General features: G+C 36.6%; 1 protein-coding gene across 2 annotated transcripts in view; it reads left to right on the forward strand.

The window, feature by feature from the left end:
- The window catches only part of PLCB1 (phospholipase C beta 1), a 752,635-nt gene that overhangs the window by 727,413 nt on the left and 3,703 nt on the right, over positions 1-21,519 (forward strand). The gene's annotated exons all lie outside the window — the stretch shown is intronic.

Consider the following 21,519-nt stretch of genomic DNA (forward strand, 5'->3'; position numbering starts at 1 on the left):
AGGTATTTCTTGTTGAAGTCTTTTCCACAGGGTAGACTCTAGCTTGGGGTCTATTGGAGCAAGTTAAATGTCTTCAAAGGTGATGGGTTATTCAACTGAATAAATGTTTTCTAGAATGTGGTGAAACCTGGAAAATACAGTGGGAGTAGGAGAGGGAAGAAAAAAAAAAGACATAATATACTTTTCTCCACTCTACCTACCATGATAATACATATTAATCTTGCCTTTATTCTTTCTTTATTGTATATAAAAGCTTCCACTAACTTTCCATTCTAGGGAGTCATTGAGAGAATATAAATATGTGGGCTTTTTGTTAAAGCCTGATAGGAGAAGAGATTATTATAAGTAATTGGAGACTGTGGAGTCAGAATAACTGAGTTTGAATTCTGACTTCATCATTTACCAGCTGTGTTGCTTAACCATAAAATGCTCATAATATTTACTCCAGCGAATAATGGGAGAATTCACAGAGGTAATCCTTGCAGATAATCCCTGCTAATCATTTAACCTAGTGCCAGGATATAGTAAATGCTCAATAAATATTTATAGTAGTAGTCATTGTTATTTGATAACTATTACAGAATAGCTCCCAAGGGCCTACTGAAGAAAAGCTTTGTGCTTAAGACACTGGCAATAAGTTCATTTCCATATGGTGTAACTTGAAGCTTTGGTTTTATAGATTAACTCAGAGACAAGTCCTACCACAGTGATTCACAGTTCCTGAATTCAAAACACTGTGCATATCACTGATTTGGCATTTCACCTTATATGACTAGCTCGTGTTATTATTTAACTTTGCCTTGGCTCACTAATTTTATTTTCAGTTTCTAACCTTTAAGAGGTAACAGTTTTATACTGTTCAAGACTCCCCAAACCAAATACCACAGAGCCATTTGTTTACATTAGTAGGTCCCCAATAAATATTCATTAGTTATTTCACTGATTAATTAAAGTAATCCATTCATCTCCACAGGGACTCAGGCTGGCTGAATCAGGAGAGACATCTTCAGATCTATTCCTCTTTGAGAAATTAGTATAATGTCAGTGCATTCTCATGTGTTTCTTGAATTATGAGCTCCCTGATGTCTAAAGAAGACTCACAGGGAAGAGTTCATATACTGACAGAACAATCATTAATTAGTTTTCAAACTAGTTTTGATTTGAAACTAAGTAATTTCAATCAGTTTTTTGACTTTCAACTCAGTGTTGTGACATCATGGTGGACACAACTTTCTTAGAGGTATCAATACCATCATCATGTCCATGTTTGATTTGACAGACAAATATTGCAATTTTATTCTGTTGGACATTTTCCAAAGAAGTTGGTTACTGATTTATTAAATAAATATACATATTTTAGGGTAGTGGAAGAAGAAGGTGAATAGAAATTAATGGGTGAGCAAAGGTGAGGGAAAACCAAATCACCAGTTTTCTTTCTGATTATATTTTAATCTAAAAGGCTATGTTTTTAATCAGGTTATATGTCTTGATAAGTGGCGTTTCTACTTAAAAAATGTTGGTTGTATTTGTATCCCAAGTAGGAAATGCAAACATACTTGTATAAAGCAAACAAGTTTAACTTGTGTGTTTGTATTAATGATATGTGATCAAGGCACAGGAAATGTTAGTAAAGAATCATACACTTATTATGTTTGTTTGGGACAGAACAAAGGATAAGTCATTAGTTGGTGAGTTCAGTCATTTTCTTTGAGATAAAACATTTGGTTAAAAGGCAGGCTAGCCCAGGCATCATGGCTCATGCCTGTAATCCCAGCACTTTGAGAGGCTCACGCCTGTAATCCCAGCACTTTGGAAGGCCAAGGCAGGTGGATCACGAGGTCAAGAGATTGAGACCATCTTGGCCAACATGGTGAAACCCCGTCTCTACTAAAAATACAAAAATTAGCTGGGCATGGTGGCGCGCGCCTGTAGTCCCAGCTACTCGGGCGGCTGAGGCAGGAGAATCGCTTGAACCCGGGAGGCGGAGCTTGCAGTGAGGTGAGATCGTGCCACTGCACTCCAGCCTGGTGACAGAGTGAGACTCTACCTCAAAAAAAAAAAAAAAAAAAAGAGATCAACTTGGGCAATGTAGCAAAACCCCATCTTTATAAAAATCTAGAACTTAAATAAAATTAAAAAGGCAGGCTGATGGAAACAATTTAATTAACTTGATTTACTGGGAAACATTGATTTATTGGAAAAACAATGAAAATGTACATTGATTTATTGGAACTTGATTAACTTGACTTATTGGAAAACATTGAAAACATACATTGGGACAACTGGATATTAGATATTTATTTTAATGCAGAAGACTTTTCTTTAAAATTGTATTTCCTTTAAAAATAGACTGGCATTATGTTATTATTTAATTATTATTTTAATGCAAAAGCTATTTTCTTAAGGATACTATTTATATTTCTGCTACTGAATACAGCACAGTAATATATTTCCTCTTGTAGAATACATTTAGTCTTGTTTTGATGGGATAAACTGCTTTTGAATATACTCACTATGTCATGCATGATTTATTTATTTAAATTTCAGCATAATTTTTCTTGACAACCTGTTCTTTCACTTGAAATGTTATGTAACAAAAACACCAGGACCAACTGGCATTTTAGTTTATCCGTCTATTCCATATGCTGCTGGATGAAGCGGAAAATGAATGTGTATCATCACTATGCTGGGCACATTTTATTCGCAGCCTGTCTTTTCTCCTGTACATCAATTTCTCTTCTCCGTTTGGAAATAGCTTCATAGCAGGTTAGGTCTATAGACCTTAACCTGAGTGATCACATATAATGTAACAGGAATCTAATTGGCTATGGTTAGAGTCAGGGACCAAAATATATTCAAACTTACTTGGATTGCTGCTTGAATATAATCACTTCAAGTCCAGGTAGAACTATTTAGACTCAGAAAGAAATTGATTTTTTTAAATCTAAACATAGTTACTGGGTAATTTATGATAGATCTCCAGCCCAAACATTTCATAAACAAGTCAAATAAGGTCAGCATGCATCAAGGACTAGGGCACATTAATCCAAAACTACAAGAAAACCCTGCAATGTGTCCACTCAATATATGCCAGCCAATAAATTCAAACTAAGGACTAAGCTAAGGTCTTCATTTGGGTTCCCCCAGAAACAAATCCTGAGATGAGGATTTGAGTATAATAGTGTTTCTGAGCAGTGGTCCCAGGAAACCAGCAGGGAAGTAGAGAAGTGAAGCAGGAAAGGGAGGGTAGCAATTAAAAGTGTGGCTTTTCTCAGACAAGTTACAAATGTGGGCAACTGGTGATCAAGCCCAGCATGGAATTCTGGGAAACCATGTAGACTATGCACCTTAGAGTTATTTCTTGCAAAGGGTGAGGGAGCTGGAGTCTATATACACCAACTGAGCAGGCAGTTTCAGCCGTTTTTGCACCCTGCAAGAGAAAGCAAGCTGTTGGAATTAGGACAGTCTGCATGACAATGGTTAGGCCAAAGAGCTATAAACTGGGCACTAACAATCATTAGCTTCAAATTGGATGAGAAGTTCGCCAAGATTATAATGCTAGAGTCTCCATAATTCAAATTTCAGTGGCATTAAACCCACACCTGCATCTGACAATAATCAAGTATGTTTGGGTTTAGAAAATATTTTCCAAACTGACACTACTTTTTTGGCAAGACTTAGCCATTAAATACATGAATGATCCTCAACAATTCATGTAAATGAGAATCACCTGCAAGCCTTCTTCAAGCTCTAAATCAATAGTTCTCACACTTTGGGATTCATCAGAATCAGGTAGGAGACAATAAAACACAGATGACTGGGCTCCCACCCCCAAAGCTTCCGACTTAGTAAGTTTAGGGTGAGCCTGAGAACATGTGTTTCTAACAAGATCCCAGATGAAGCTGATGCTGCTGTTCGGGAGACCTCAATTTGGGAGCTTCTGCTCTGTATAACCTCACACACCGTACTTGCTCCTGCCCTAATCAGTTTTGTATTTTACCATTATAACCAAAAGAAGTACATTATATTCTTCAGATAAAGAAAATGTTAAGAGGCCTTGATTTTCAATCTACTTCTAACTGGAAGAGTTAAGCAAAGGAAGTTTTTTCTACCTCTGAAGAAGGCAAACCACACAAAGTTGGAATCTTCTATCCAGAGTTGAAAACCCTATTATACTTATAATCATTTTTTTATTAACATATACTGAAAGATGGTCATTCATAGCAAGAACTCATAGGTAAAGATTAAGTTGGTAGGGTTTCTGAGTGGCATTTTACATAGCACTATGAAAAATTATGCACATGATTATCTTTTCTTATTCATCACTGATGTATCAAGAGATATCTTCAATTTTCAGAATGTTTTATTTTTCTTGGCATACAATTAGACAAAATATTTCAGTTTTCAAAAAACAATTCAGAGTTCTTATTATTTTTCCTCTTTTAGTTATTTTAAAATTTGATTTGAAGTGCTGCAAAGAGAAAGGGGGAAATGATGTGGTAGGCCTTTGATGAAGTTAAGTGGCAGTCGCCTGGACAAATGTGCAAAAAGACTGGCATTCAGTAATATCCAGCTCTTCTGGTCTTAGATGATTTCTATTCTGTGATGCCAAGGAGAGGTAGTCACTCCCTCCTTTGTGTTACATTTGTATGTTGCATATAATTTTCCCATGTATATTGCAGTATACCATGTATGTTGCATATAATTTTACATATCTCAGCATAACACCTTATTATTTTATGTTTCACATTCTCCTACTAGTCTTGGGACTTCCTGAAGCCAGGGCTGTGTCTCACTCATGTCTCTGCCTAGCACCTGTCACAGTGCTAGGTTTGCAGAAGTACACTTGATAAATTTTTGGACACATGAATGAATAAATCAATGAATGTGTGAGGGAGAGGAGGCCACAAAAAGCGAGTAGATGTAAATAGAGAATGAGCCATGAATCAGTGGTATTGGCCATTCAATTCAGTATTCCAAGTATTGCAGTATGTTCCCATGATTTGGAATTAGGATGGCTCTCTGGCTGACATGTCAACCAAGAACTAGAACAGGCTTGTTAGAACTAGAACCTAGAAGATTTTTCCTGTCACTGGTAAGATTAGCTGTAGTTTTCTCTAAAGCCATTTACCCTTGTGTAAGTAAGGATGCCTATGATGCATCAGAATGGCTTTTAATCTCCTAGGTTGAGTGTTCTGAAGAAACCCCCAAGTTTTGGGAAGCAGCGCCAGAATTATATATGTCAGGATATGGTTATCTGATGGGAAGATGGAAGGAGAAAGTAAGATTTAGCAGACCAGCTCTGCCTTGTGAATCTAAGCAGAAGAAAAACGAATAGTGTTTTAAAACTAATTTGCAATTGTACTGAATTGAAGTCACCGGTTCCTGTCCTTATAAGAGTAACTTCACTGCGGCCATAGATTCTGTATATACCTTAATCCAGTGATAACAATGGAAGAAAAGGGAGTTTTTTTTCATCCTTGCACTTTCCTTGTAGAGGAGAAAGAGATAAACATTGATGGAAAGTAAAAGTTCCCCTGGGCTTTATAACACTAGCTCTTTCTTTCTCATAGTTATAAGGTAGTTATAAAGTACTCAAGATTTATAGTTAGGATTATTCTCTAATTCTACTTTAACTTCAGAATAACCAAAAAGGCCCCCAGAAATTTAAGAGGCCATCCTTATGGCATAAACATTGGCTAATAAAGATTAATCATAAATAAGAGAAACACTCATATCTGCATGTATATTCATCATTCCCCTGACCTCAAAATAAATCATGCAACACAAAATATGTATGTGAGAATGTATTGGTTAGCATAATACTGGCTGCTGTGACAAACAGTACCAAAATATCAATGGCTTCATACAATAGAATTTTATTTCTTTTTTGTACAATAGTCCAACATAAGAGTTTCCAGTTGATGAACAGTTTATCTCATCATGGCAATTCAGAGAACCAGGTTCCTTTCATAATGTGGCTCCATCATCCCCTAGGATCTTGCTGGAAAGGGGAAAGAAATAGTAGAGATTCCCCATATGTCCCCAAAAAGCCCTGCCCTAACTTTTCATTGGCAAGAATTTTTCAAATGGCTATGCCTGGATTAAAAAGTGGTAGGGAGGACTTGTAAACATTGTCCTTGGATTTGGCAGCTGCACCCAGGCACAGCAGACACCGTGGACAGGTGCCTGCAAATTTTGAGGATACCGACTTATTTTCTGCAATGTAGACCAAAATACTGGAATCCAAACCTGCTAAATGTAGAATTATTCTAAATTGACTGCTACTCACAAAGACCCTAAAGATAAAATCAGTAAAGTGACGACTTTGTATTCCAAGTCATCTCTGTAGACCTCTTCGAGAAATGGATCTATTAACAAAAGGATCTGGGCTAGAAGACTTACAAAAGAGGATTTCTATAAAAACAACTTGCTATTCAATTTATCTGACTTTTCATTCCAAACCCGATGTGTTTAGCACAGTTACATCACCACACTTACGTGACGAAGAAGGAAATGGGAAAAGAGGGAGATGTCCAATATTCTCTAGCAGATGCCTTTTATTCAAGAATAGGATCAAAAATTTACCTGGGGGTAAGGAAAGTGTCTTCCTCTTCCCAGTGATAGTTGCCTTGTTAAAGACTTTAGACACCAGCGCAATGTGGTTAAGTCTCCACTAGTGCAACAAAGAAAAGGATAGAGGCCAGTCCCTGAATAGGGAGGCCCCAGCAGACTTTCAGATGGTTAACTATCAAGTCCAAAGACAGACAGATGGAATACATTACCCAAATACTCCGGAAGTTGCAAATCGACCTGCATGGTGTTTTGTAAATTTCTAATTTAAGGCAACACTGACAAATTAGAAGGTTTAACACAAAATCCAGATTTCTGGATTCTTTTGAAAAATCAAAAGAATAATCTAGTTAGTAGAACTAGTTAGTAGAACTAGTTAGTAGTAATCTAGTTAGAAGAACGGGTGTCTGCTGTCTGTAACCACCCAGCTCCTGTCACTCGTTTGCCTTTTGATCTGGCCCTGCCTCAGTTTGCTCTCCCTGAGAAATCCCATCATTGTTTTCAGCTTCACCTTGGGGGGAGAATTCAAGCACAACAAGCAGGCTTCTCAAAATGCCTGTGAGGCCAAGAAACAAATGTCTAGTTTCCTTTCAGATAAAATTGTAAATACTCACCCAAAAACCACAGCAATTTAAGCAGGAGACATAAACATCATATTTAGAAGGAGGGACTATGTAATTAGGACATACTCCCTTAAGCATCAAAATCAATTATCCTGATAAAACCCTAGGACGGCTAACCACTCTTGAAATATACATTTATAAAAAGAAAAAGAAAAACCAAAACTAATTTTAGGTGATCGGGAGAAGGATGTTCTCCAGGGACATAACTGAGTTCATTCTAGGACATTTGATTCAGCCTGTCCCTTGTTTTGTAAATGCCATGCACAGGCTTTGAGTCGAGAAAGTGGTTGTAGCTAGGGCTCAAGTTCAGTAATTACTAATCCTTGGTTAATCTTAAAAGGAGTTATCATAAAGGCATGCACCAATGAGGAGACTCTGATCCAAGCTGAGGCCAACACAAGGGCAGGACCCCCACAGGAAAAAGCCTTTGGAGACCCAAGACTTCCTGAAGAGGCTGCTTCATGGGACTCCAGGTTCTCTGAGATGGTTGCTTGCACCGTCTGCACTATTGACCTTGCTTCTAATGTGACTCGGTGTAAGAACTGAATTCATAATGTATGTTCAGTTCTTTCTGGTTGGTGGCATTCCACCTGATTGAAAAGAAATACATCCTTCATCTAAAAATAATTAGCCTCTGAATGGCCTTTTATTTCAATTGCCCGGAGGGCTTTTATTGATTTTTTTTCAGGGTTTGTGTGGTTAAGAGAATGGGATTCTTCTGGTGGTGTCTTTCTTAGCCTCTCTCGAATAGGCTGTCATGCCCTTGCTCCTCATGTGCGGCTAAATCAGAAGCTACAAAGTAGTGACTTGCAGACTCAGTTGGGCCTTTTATTGGACTCTTGGTATATGTTAAAATTGCTGAATTTGAGTGTTTTACACAAGAAATACAATTCCACTTGGCTACAGATTCCACTACTTCTCAATTGCCTTATACCAGATCTCATTCACAGATTTGTGTTGCTTCTTGAGCCCCATAGATATTTGAGTTCAGAGATTCTGAAATTAATATACATGTATTAAGTTAATACATGTAAGGTCCTAGGAACAGTGCCTGCCACACAATAAGCACTTAATTAATTTTAATGTTACTATTATTATAGTAAATAATTATTTTATGGTTCTATATTTCCTTGTTTATTAGCAATTTACTAGGTTGGTTATAACCCAAGAGATTTTTTTCTTTTTCTTTTAAGCTATGATTTTTCCTTATTCCAGTTTTCCATTTGCTTGTTCTTTTTTATGGTATCCGATTCTTTACAGAAGTATTCTGATTAAATTAGACTGTACTTAATGGAAAACAGAAAAACAACTAGCTGATCAAATAAACATTTCCTAAACTGAAGAATGACACAGAGGGAGTGAAAAACCAGGATCTTCCAAGTATGACAGACACAAAGAAAAGCCTGTGATGATTTAGAAATGTGCTGGGCTAATTGCAGCTGGTTGAGGGTCCTCGTTGTTTTCCATAAAACCGTATTGTATTATGAAGAGGACAGCAGGTCAATAAGACCCTGGGCCATGGGACCCCTCTTCAGCATCACTTTTCAGTAAAAGACAATTCCCGATTATTTTGTGAAAGCAACTTTGAAATCCTAAACATGAAAGGAAAACACATTGGAATGTTTTGTTATATTCCCCTCAACACACAAGAATATCAGGTTCCTGAGACCTTCACACATCCTGTTTTTACATAGTGAACAGTTGGCCTGGAATGGTGGGGATGGAGCCCTGGATAGGAGGCAAGAATTTATTTATTTTACTTATGTATTCATTTTGAGACAGCATCTCACTCTGTCACCCAGGCTGGAGTGCAGTGGCACCATCTTGGCTCACTTCAACCTCCGCCTCCCAGGTTCAAGTGATTCTTGCGCCTCAGCCTCCCAGGCAGCTGGGGCTACAGGCACCAGCCACCACACGCAGCCAGTTTTTTTTTATTTTTAGTAGAGATGGGATTTCACCATGTTGGCCAGGATGATCTCAAACTCCTGGCCTCAAGTGATCCACCCACCTCGGCCTCCCAAAGTGCTGGGATTACAGACGTGAGCCACTGCACCTGGCCAGGAGGCAAGAATTTAGTATTCAGATCTTGATTCTGCGCTGAACCACTTGGATGGTAGGCTTTAGTCTCCTCACTTCATGATTGATGGGATTTGATGAACAATGTGCTGAATGTTTATTCTCTCAAGATTATAAAACAAGTATCTTAAGCTTCCTTACCCCAGAGCACAGGATCTTCAAAGACTTAGAACATCTTTTGGTATTTCAAATACAATAGTAACTTTCTGTTTGACAAACGTCTTTGGGTTATTATCTTGATTATTTTTTTTTATTATACTTTAAGTTTTAGGGTACATGTGCACAACATGCAGGTTATTTATCATTTTTGTACAATCAAAATTTGTTTCCTAATTCACAATCATTTTTATGCCCAGCTGAGTCTTCCAAAAGAAAACACCTAACTAAAAATAGAAAACTTCTAGGCCTTAATCGCAGGCCCCATAAGGAGAAAGTATTCCAGTGCTGACATAAAAAGTTCAGGGCCAGGAACTCACATATTAGCTGGGCTGACGTGGCCTGCTGAGTAGCATAATTATTGTCCTAAATTGTAGTATAAGTTGCTTTTAGGGTAAGTGGCTTGGGTATGTATATAAAGCAATAAGAATTTTGCTCCTGGAAAATGGTAAACAACTCATTTCATGTCAAGGCCACAGAACTTAATGCACACTTTTGAGAGAAATTATAAGAGTCATGGGGAAATGCAACAATAATACCAAATAACAGACACAAAACTTCACTGGCTTACAATAATAAACATTTATTTAGTTCATAAGATTGTGGGGTTCAGCTGATCTTGGCTGAGTGTGGCGGAGCTTAGCTGGACTTGTTCATACATCTGTGGTTCATTATGGGTCAGGCAGGTAGCTCTGTAGCTCTGCTGATCTTGACTGACTTACATCTCTGGGTATCAGTTGGATGTTGATGAATCTAGGATAATTTGGGGTATGGGACTGGGATGACTGAGGTGACTCAACTCTTTTCCTTGTGTTAAATCTTCTACTAGAGTAGTCTAAGCATGTTCCCGTGACATGCCATAGGAATAGGAGTGAAAGCTAAGTAAGGGCTTTTTTAAGCCTCTGCATAGGCCATGCCTGCTAACATCCTATTAACCAATGTCATCGCATGACCACATCATCTTCAAGGAATGGAGAAATAGACTCCTCATCTCTCATAAGAGAAGCTGAGAATCATAAAGCAAAGGCTCTGGGTACAGGGAGGAGCCATTAATCCAGTCAATCTACCACAGAGGAGAGAATTGACGAGGTCCTGGTCCTGGTTTTGCTACTAGCCAGCCATATCCTTGAGAAAGACCCTAACTTCTCTGGGCCACAGATTTTCACTAAATAAAAGAAAGGATTTGAGTATAATTGCTAAAGTCATTTTCTGAGACGTCAAAGTCATGAAGGGTTTGACTATGTAATTGTTAAATGTTCTTTTTTCAGGTTCCTACAGTAATCTCTAGACACCTGTGAGATGATTAGAAATTTTGAAATATATTTCAGGACTCAGAGGAGGTATAAAAGCATGGACTATGTTAGGAGTTTTCCTCTGTGGCGGTTTCATGGAATATATGCATATATAGAGGAGTTCACACCTAAGAACTATGTCAGAATGCATTTGGCTTTTGACTTGAAATAAAGTTTAAAAAGGAAATGCATGTTAGGAACTGTGCTTGGTAAATCACATGGTCTCTAGTTTCTGTCTTTCCTCTTTTATTGATTCAGTATTTGGATCTACTTAGTATTTTGCCTACCTCGTCCTTGACTCCTCCAACCTTCCTTTCTGGCAACTTAGCAACCCTCATTCTGCCCTTCACCCAACAGCCTTATCAACACTTTGAATCTAAATCTGAGCATTAGCATTCCAGAAGTCTGAAGATATGAGATCTACAAAAGAATGGTTTAATATTTATCTAGACCCTGAAGTAATGTTGTTGAGGAAGGAAGAGAATGCACAAAAGGAGAAAATTGTTGGAAGACCTTTGTCTAAAGTGGTGCTATTCACAGTGTGGTTCTTAGACCAGCAGCAACAGCATCACCTTGGAGCTTGTTAGAAATGCAGGGTAGCATGCCCCACCCCAGATCTTCTGAATCAGAATTTGCATCTTAACAAAATCCCCAGAGATTTTGTATGTACATTACCTTGTCACTTTTAATGTGCATCCATCTGTGAAATTAGCCATAGATTATGAAAACAGAGTATGTGAGAATTGTAATCCCTCTATTGTAATCTATGGCTAATTCATGAAAGTAAATGTGTGATAATTTAATTTTTATATATTAGAGCAGATTCAAAGTTGAGATTCATGTTTTCTATCACATCTACATACTTACATATATACCTGTAGATTGTGTAGGGAAGAGGGAATTTACAGCTACAGAGCTGTGTCTCCCCAGTGAATGTCATCTATTGTATGTCCAATGGAGGAAGTGTTGAGAGCTTCTGCCCAAAATAAGGATAATACTAAAGGTATTGGCAGATTCTACAAGGCTCAATTTTTAAGTCTCATGTCCTTCATAAAGTATTTCCCATATTACCTTAAGGCTACAATACAGTCTTCATTTTCAGCATCCACAGTCCATCTTGTGTGTGGCACTCATTCAGTCCAATGTTTTATTTTCCCCGTATCCATTGCTTGTCACCTAGGACGGATTCTAATTTCTCCAGTCACCACAACACCAAACAGGGCCTTGCATGGGTCAGAGTGTTCAAAATACCATTTATTGACAAATGCATCAAAATCAACAAAAAACCAGAATATAGTCCCAAAAGAGAAATCCACCAAGTACCATAACTGACCAAATAATGACTCAAATTAACTGGAAAGAACAAGGACTGGTTCATAGGCAGGACTTTAGATTTTTTTTGCTGTAAGTGATTTTTTCTCTCTTTTTAAAAATGAGGTTACACAATATTAATTAATAAGCAAATCAGAGTATGCTAAGCATTTAATATGTATGATCTTGTTTAAACCTTTTAACAGCCCAGGAAAATTGGTTTTATTATTCCTATGTTATACATGAGACAGTTAAAATTCCAAGAGATTAAATAAGCTGAGCAAGGTCATATTTCATAAAATGCAAGCATTCTAAACCCTATGTGGAGAAAGAATCTTATCTATCCCAAAGTGAATTGTCTACTTTGTGTAGATCTATGGCATCAGTTTAACTTATGTTGCCTTCTTAGCCCTGTGTAACAGGTTCTATTGCTAGTTGGTATTTGTTCACAAGATAAAAATTAATTTTAATATTATTTTGAAGCAAATATAATTATTTAGGAAAATCTACCCAAAATATAGGCATGCATCAAACTCCAGCACCCAATAAAAAGCAGCAGTAATTGATTTCCATTGTGAATGGCCTGTATTCTTCTACATTGGCATGGACTATCCAGTTTACTTCTGTTTACATCTGGAGTATTTTCAACTTTGACCTAGAAATACACTGATCACCATTTCACTCCTCATCTTTAGATTTCAGTTGCCAATGGCAACCTTGAATTACAAAGTTGAACAAAAGCTGCATTTTACTTGAGTGGTTTGTAATTTTGAACTTGAGTTCATGTTTTCTAGGAGTTGTTTGTCTATAGGTGTCAGTCCTGCCCTTGGTTGCCGAGGAACCCGAACATTCTGAATTTGCTATGCCTCTGCTGGGACTCAGTGGGCTTTATCAGTTTCTGAACAGTTTTTGCTTTAAATTATTGGGACTGGGTACTCAATTCACAGGGGTAATATGAATTTGGAAACTGCACTCATTCATGGGTTTCTAATTCCCTTTGTGGATGTTTTTCCTCAATGTGCTCCATGAATCATTTGCTTCCTTGCCTCATCTCCAAGGTTGTGGATTGGGTTTTCCTAGTTCCCATTTGAAGGGTGGGCACCCCTGGCTCTATTCAGGGACTTCAGGTTCAGCACTCCAACACCCGGCATCCTGAGGCCTCCTCTTCCAATCTCTCCTCGCCCCGCAAAATGGAGAATCAATTCTGTTAACTGTGAGTTCCTTTGTTATTTCTGCGACTTAAGGATTTCTTTTCCTTATATTCAAACTCAGCTGTAAACTTAAGTGAATATGTATGTACTGTTTCATTTTGCCTTTCCCTATGTTTGGAATAGAAAAGGAAATTTTCAGTCAGCCATATTGACTCAAAGTCCCATGGCAATTTATTCTAAGGAAACTTAGTGGAAAACAAATAAACAAACAAAAACTGAAATGGTTAGGATATAGCATGTGGTCACTTTCCAACAATCCTTGGGTAACATGACTAACCTCAGTCTATAAATTTCTTATGATCCTGTTATTTTTATTCTTGAAGCAAAATTCATGAGATTATTCTAAAAATAAGATGAGGCCTTGCACGTTTGCTCAGGCTTAATTTTGAAACCATTCATTCTATGAATGTATGATTTTAATGCATTTCCCATTGCTTTTAATATCCACTTAGCTAACTGATGATGTTGAGGTTAAAATACTATAGTCCTTGCAGTAATTCTCGTAAAATTGTCCTAGTCACTGTATCCCACATTCAGAGTTCTACATTTTTCTTTTTTGTATTTTATAGAAATTATATTAGATTTTGTTTTCATTTTAGAATGCTATTTTTATGCTAAAAATGAAATAATCACATTACCATAAAAGTGAGAAATAGAATAAATAAAGATACTCATAATTCTAACACAGTTTATATTTTAGTGTTTCTTTTCAAAGTCGTTTTGTATTCTTTAAAAAAATGGTCATAGTTATTATCACAGTATGTATACAACTATAGGTACATTTTTTCACTTATCACAAAAATATAATTATTTCTCCCTGTTTTCAAAGCCATTGGTTTATATTATTTGACTACCTCATAGTTCTTTAAGTGAGAGCCTTATGATTTTTTTACAGAAACACTTACGTTTTATTCATGTTTTTGCTGTTTCTTGGCTTTTTTGTTAGTTTTACTATTTTCCCTGATCTTTAGCAGTAAATTCCAAAATATTCTGAGCAAGATAATTAGAGTACCATATTATTATTGCTGCCTCTCAAAGGCTAGGAGATATATTTTTAAAGTGTTAAAAGACTATAAGGAATTAAATTTTAAATATATGCAGCATGTATTTTACATCTCAGAATTGCTAAGCGATTAAATTTCAAATGTTCTCACCACAAAAAATGGTAAGTATTTGAGGTGATAAATATGTTAATTGGCTTTATTTAATTACTCCATGTTGTATTTATAAATCATGGCATCATTCTGTACTACATAAATACATACAATTTTAAATTGTCAATTTTATTTATATATATGTGTATGTACACACACACACACACACACACACACACACGCACAACAGATGCTCCCAGAGAAGAAAAAGAATAAAATAATTGAAAATGTCTACTGAGAAAACAAACTGAAACAAGTGATCCTATGTCTATATTTAAGGTAACATAACCATACAAAGAATATAATTACTTTCAGTGAATTTTGGCAGAGTAATATAATTGTGCATCCTTAGTAGGATATATTTGATGAATAAAAAGAACTTCAAAAAAGTCTCAAGCTTCATTTGCTTATTTTATTGACAGGTCATAATATTGAAACTATTTCTGGATATATTAATATAAAGCAAATAAATAAATATGCTAATGCTATCTGAAAGCAACCTTTTTAGGAAACGTATGCTTCAGTCTTTATGGGTGAAATGTCATGATGCCTGAAACATTTTCAAATGACTCAGCAAAAAATATAGAGATAGACAATACATAATGCATATGTGGCAAAACATTGAAATTAAGGTAGTTTTCACAGGCTGGTTTTGTTTTGTTTTATTTTTTGGTTGCTTTGCCTGTACAAACAATGCTAAATCAATGCTATTTTTCCTGTACAAAAATAAATATCTTAGTGTATTCATTCTTATATGTTGGTGGTTTTGTTTCTGTGGGCCAAATTCCCAAAAATGGAGTTGCTGGGTTACAAGCCTATGTTTGCCTTCTTATAAATTTTGTCAAATTATTGCCCAATGTTTCAAAGTGTCAATTTCTCAGAATGTTATTGCTTCTTTAAAGGAAATTTCTTTTAAATTTAATGAATTAAATTAAATTAATCAATATAATAAATGTCCCTTGAAAAGGTATTGTGCTATTGCATTTCTCTAATTGTTAATGAGCTGCTTTCATCTATATTTCAAATATATATAGTTGTATTGTATATATATTCTTTGTATTTTATTTCTTTTCCTATGAATTGCTTTATTTATGCTCATTTTTCAGAGAAATGGATTATTTTCATCTAGATAAAGATATCTATATTTTTCTTTCTTATGTTTTTCTGTCTTGCTTAAAAAGGTCTCTGTACCCCATGATTATACAGTTATTCACAATCACAATTATACTTTTGGCACATTCTCCTAGACAGAAGCAAATAACAAGCAAATAACAATCCTAAGATTGTTATTGGCTTCATATTTTATATTACAAAGTGGTATATATACTATACGTAGTATATATAATATACATAATATAAATATTAATATATGTAATACATTATATTAATTTATTATGTTTATATTATAAAATATTTATATAACATATAAAATATTTTTATATATAAATATAATATATTAATATTTATATTATAAAATACATTGGCCTTATATTTTATATTAAGATCTTTCATACACTTCATTGGGCAAAATGACCTGAGTTGGACTCTGGAATTCCAAATTTTGAAAACCTTGCAAATATCTGTCTGCACATTATCCAGCTGCATATTTTTTTTTAAGTTTTCTCAATTCTTCTTTGTTATTCCATTGTGGCTTATTGTTCTCTGGTTTCAATTTGTTTCCTTAGGAAATTGGTTTGATTGTCTCTGATTCATAACTCAGTAATCTGTCTTATATTTATGCCACATTTATGTTATACTGGGTTTTGTTTGTTTGTTTTCTGATTGTAAGCTAACCTTCAAGAGTAACTTTGCTTGCTCCTTGGCCTTCACTTATTTTTTTTATCTAAAAGCTTTCCTTAACTATATCAAATCTCTGCCTTTTTTAAAGACAGAAGAAAAGAATGTCAGAGTCAGAAAAGCATCCCAAGTACAAAAATCTTTGACAACACAGGAAGAATTGAATACATTTGAACTTGACCGTATTGCCTTTTCCTGCTTAACTACCCAGAGTTCACAAAAATGACTAGTGGGCAATGTCTTTTGAAAATCAAGTTAACTGAGAAATTTAGAATTTGAGCCTGACTAGTCAAATTAAAGAACTGGGCCTATAATAAAACAAACTCTGACAACACTCTTCTTTATTAATATCTGAGTATAATAATAACAACTCATCTTAAATTTAGAGGTTAAATTCAATCATGTTCTTTCGTCTTTCTTGTTCATTTTCCAAAAAGAGGTCTTATGAACTTAAGATTAAACAAACTCAAGTTTGACAATGTTATGCTAGAAAGGCTCCAAGGCATAGCCTACAAAATCACATTTGTCTTGAAAATCTATCTGTCCTGTGGTGATTTTTTTTCCAAGAATATGCTTTGAGGCCACAGCAATGAAAGGATGGGGCCAGCTGTGTTAGCTTATGAGTATTTTATGGGTCCAGGCCACATAATGAGACTACTTTCTGTTCCCCTCACTCAAAGTTATAGCCATAATACTGCTGCCTAACAACCAACCATAAAAATCAGTCACAAAACAAGCATTTGCTAAGTTGATGAGTCTATGAACTGGTTCTGGTCTGGACCAGGCTCACCTGATCTCAGTAGGCTTGTTCATGCCTGTGTTTAGCTGGTGGTCAGCTAGGGGTGAGCTGGTTTAGAATAGCTTCACTTTTATATCTGATAGTCAATTGAAGTGATGCAAAAAGTATAATAACTGGGCCATGTGTCTCCTCTTCTGGCAAGCTAGGCTGAGCTTGTTCACATGATGGCTGAGTAAACTTCTAACTGTGAGAGCAGAAGCACACAAGGCCTTGTGACGTCTGGACTCAGAACAGCATATACTTTTGACACATTCTCCTAGACAGAACCAAATAACAAGGCCTCCCCAGATTCAAGAAGATGAGAAATACACTCCGTTCTTTGCTGGGATGGGATGAGCTGCAAAGTCACACCACAAAGGTTATGATTACAAGGAGGGGTGAAGAATTACTGCCATTTGCACGACCAATCTACCATTCCCACCTAACACCTTGTTTCACTTGCACAGAATAGAAATTCAACACATATTAGAGTACAAAACCCAGAATATGGCAATTAGATAGTATGATGCTGAACCTCAGAACAGAGGCAATCAAAAGGAAGCCCTGGTGATCTGTGGAGGACCATCTAAGCCTAGGATTATGGGGAAGGAAAATTAGGAAGAATCTAAACTGGAATTCCACAGTTGGACCTAACTTCGGGAGTCCCCTGGTTAAAGCCAGATTTAAATCTGTTAGGGGAAAGGTTATAAATTCTCCATGAGCCCAGTGGGGCTGATGAATGTGATTTGAATTGATTGCCAACAATAAAAACTCAGGCTCTTACATGAAGATGTGGATTTCTGACTTCAATATTTAATCTGACAAGCATCAGCTAGAACTGAGTTGTTTGTACTCCCTTTAGACAGGGCCTGTCATCTCTAGCTCTTCAGAAACCCCACAACCCCCTCTTTCTTGCACATAGCCTGCTACTTATTTACATGACTTGCCTGGCCCCTGTAACATCTGAGTTTGCAACCCTTGGGCTGGAATAGCTCTAGACCACTGATGGATGGGGCTTTGTTGGAACGGAGCCAGAATTACCCTGTATTCTTTTCATATTTTCTTACAATGAACAAGTATTTAGTTTATAAGAAGAAAAAGCAAAAGCTCTAACTTGGAATGTAATAAATACAATTTTGAAATTAGTTCATTAATAATTGTATGGCTGTTTAAAAAGAGTGAAATATATGGCACTTAATATGTCATGAAGCAGTGACTTAGTTTAGAATATAATAAAATCTACTACTATCCCATGATGAAAGTCTACTACAGTTATAACTTAGCCACAACTGGGTCAATTATTATAAATTATTAAAAATCATCATCAAAATTAAATTACTAAAATGTAGGTTTTTCTTAGAATTAAATTATTTAAAATGTTAAAAAGCATTGGTTTAGGTATTTGACATTTTCTTGTATTTTACTTCTTTTGTTAATAATTAAAGAAATAGTACTTATCAAGCACTATGGGGTCTTGTCCACCAATGAGCATTAACCTGAGAGAAATTATCTGCTAGGTCAGGTACAATATATCCATAGCTGAAGGTCCCCCAGTTCAACCTATAAGAGAACAACAATCTGTTGTTTTCTTAAAACAGGCTCACTTGCTTTTCTTCCTTCCCTATCTTCCTTGGAAACACATGTGTTACTGAATTAAAATTGAGGTGAATTGATGATGAGGTCTGAATGGTAGTAAATGGACGCTGTCAAACAACAGGCTAAGATTTCATTCATGCAAAAGAGTACGACATTGTAAAAGCCCCACTTCCTTCTAAATTGTTGGAACAGCAGGGAAAGAACTGGCAATTGTCTTCTTCCTGTTTGATGCCCCAGTGACTCGTATGTGCCAACATGGAGAGTAGGGCCCTGTACAAGGTGCTCCATCATAGCCACATGAGTCCAGGGCCCTGAGCGCCCCCTCACAGCATGTTTCCTCCTCGGCTTATAAGAATTTATATGCTAGCAAATAGATTCATAAATACCCCACATTTTATATGTAGGGAGAATAGTTGACTTTCAATACTCAGCCTAAGCCATTTTTACCAGATACCATTTTTATTTTTATTTTTTCATTTTCTATTTTTATTTATTTTTATTTTTCTTTGATATTTCAATAATTTTTATAAATTTTTAAAAATTTCAACTTTTATTTTAGATTCAGAAGGTACATGTACAGGTTTGTTACATGAGTATATTGTGTAACATATATGTATGAGTATATTGTGCTGAGGTTTGGGATACGAATGATCCTGTCACAAAAATAATAAACATAGTACCCAGCAATTAGTTTTTCAAGGCTTGCCCCCGACTCCCTCCCCCACTTTATTAGTCCCCAGTGTCAATCATTGCCATATTTATGTCCATGAATACCCAATGTTTAGCTCCCACTTATAAGTGAGACTGTGTGGTATTTGGTTTTCTGTTCCTACATTAATTTGCTTAGGATAATGGCCTCCAGCTGCATCCATGTTGCTGCAAAGGACATGATTTCATACTTTTTATGGCTGCCTACTATTCCACATTATAAGTACCATATTTTCTTTATCCAGTCCACCATTAATGGGCACCTAGGTTGATTGAATGTCTTTGCTATTGTGAATAGTGCTATGATAAACATACAAGTGCATGTCACACACTTTTTGATGTGAAAAAAAAAAAAAAACAAGTCATTTAAACTAGATCCATAATCTGTTATCTGAGATTCTTGGGGCCTGTTGTTTTTCAGAATTTTAACTTTTCTGATTTTAGAAAGGCAATGTGATGCATATACCATGAGCATAACACTCCAGGCAGACCTGAGTAATCCTCAAAATCAAACAAATTAATATGTCTGCAGTTAAGTTCATGTATAGTCATATGACAGGGCATACATGAAATTATACATATTTCATGTATCAGTATCATCCCAATATCAGTTCATGTCAATGAGTCTGCCACAAATTTGCCAGAAAAAGAAAAAGAAAAAGAAAAAAAGGAAACTTCTTCTGGATTTCAGAACTTTGGGATAGATAAGGGATTACTTAATATAAATTAAATAATTTAGTAATGGCAAAATTTATCTGTCACAGAAGTGAGAGTGAAAGGAGTTGAACTAAAGGGGATGCTCCCAAGCTGCTGACACTGTCTAGAAGGAGGCTAAGACTCAGGAAGACAGATGTCCTGGAGATTGACTTCACCCTGGCATTCCAGGGATCAGAACAAGCCCCAGAGGCTGCCCTGAAAGCTGCAGATGGAGGATGCACAGCCAGGATCAAGACAAAAAGTAGAACTGGGGGCTGAGAGTAGAACCCAGACAGGGAGCTATCAGAGTGGCCAAAGCAGATTAACCACCTTGGCATCCCCCAAGAGCTATTGAGAAACGCAGGAGCTCAGGCCCCACTCAGGCCTCCTGAGTCGGACAGAATCAAGATCAAATTCCAGACGATTTGTGTGCACTTAAAGTTTGAAAAGCAGGGGGAAAAATACAGGTTTTAAGTCCATGTCTTAAAAATTGCCTCCAAGCTAATAAGGAGGTGTGGGGGAAGCATTTAACCTTGCATGGTGTTTCAAGGATTATTCTCCCTGCTCACCAATTGATAAGCAGAGATAATTTTCTTTAAAATTCAAGGTTTTCTCTTGGACTCAGCACAGCACAGCTCCCTACCAGACAACTCTCCCTGTTGCCCCCGTTCTCTCCCTGTCTACCGGAGAATCCCAGCTTTTATATTATTTTATGACTAAGACATCCACGTAAGTCTCCATTTGAAGAAAGGCTTCCAGGACTTTAAAACATCTGAAAATTCTCCAGGGCATAAAATAGACACATTAAGAGACAGTTTAAAGGGTAGCTAAAATAGTTTACAAGGCAAATAAAAATTAGAATGAAAAATGAATCAAAATAAAGTGGTGGCAAAATAAGTCAAAATAAAAGTTCAAGTTGGTTACACGAGTTTGTTTACTTTGTGAAAATGTATCAAGCTGCTCCTTAGACCCCAGCATTGGCTTCCAGGCCTCTGACTAAAGCTGCACATCTCAAAGTCCACTCCACACTGCTCTGTCTATTCTACTCAGCTTCTTAGCTTCCCCCAGCCAGGTTCATGGCTGACCTTGGAACGCTCACCTATCAATATTTCTCAACCCCTAAATGTAAGAACCTCAGATCATTTTATATTATTTCTGACACATTTTTCTATTTTTCTTTCTTTCTTTTCCTCTTTTTCTTTCTTTCTTTCTTTTTTTTTTTTTTTTTTGGTTTTGAGATGGAGTCTCACTCTGTCGCCCAGACTGGAGTGCACTGGCGCGATCTCAGCTCACCACAACCACTGCCTCCTGGGTTCAAGCGATTCTCCTGCCCCAGCCTCCCAAGTAGGTGGGATCACAGGTGCACGCTACCATACCTAGCTAATTTTTGTATTTTAGTAGGGATGGAGTTTCACCATGTTGGCTAGGCTGGTCTTAAACTCCTGACCTCAAGCAATCCACCTGCTTCAACCTCCCAAAGTGCTGGGATCACAGCCGCACGCCACTATACCCAGCTCATTTTTGTATTTTAGTAGAGATGGAGTTTCA

This window comes from Homo sapiens, chromosome 20 (assembly GCF_000001405.40).
Source record: "Homo sapiens chromosome 20, GRCh38.p14 Primary Assembly".
NCBI classification, from domain to species: domain Eukaryota; kingdom Metazoa; phylum Chordata; class Mammalia; order Primates; family Hominidae; genus Homo; species Homo sapiens.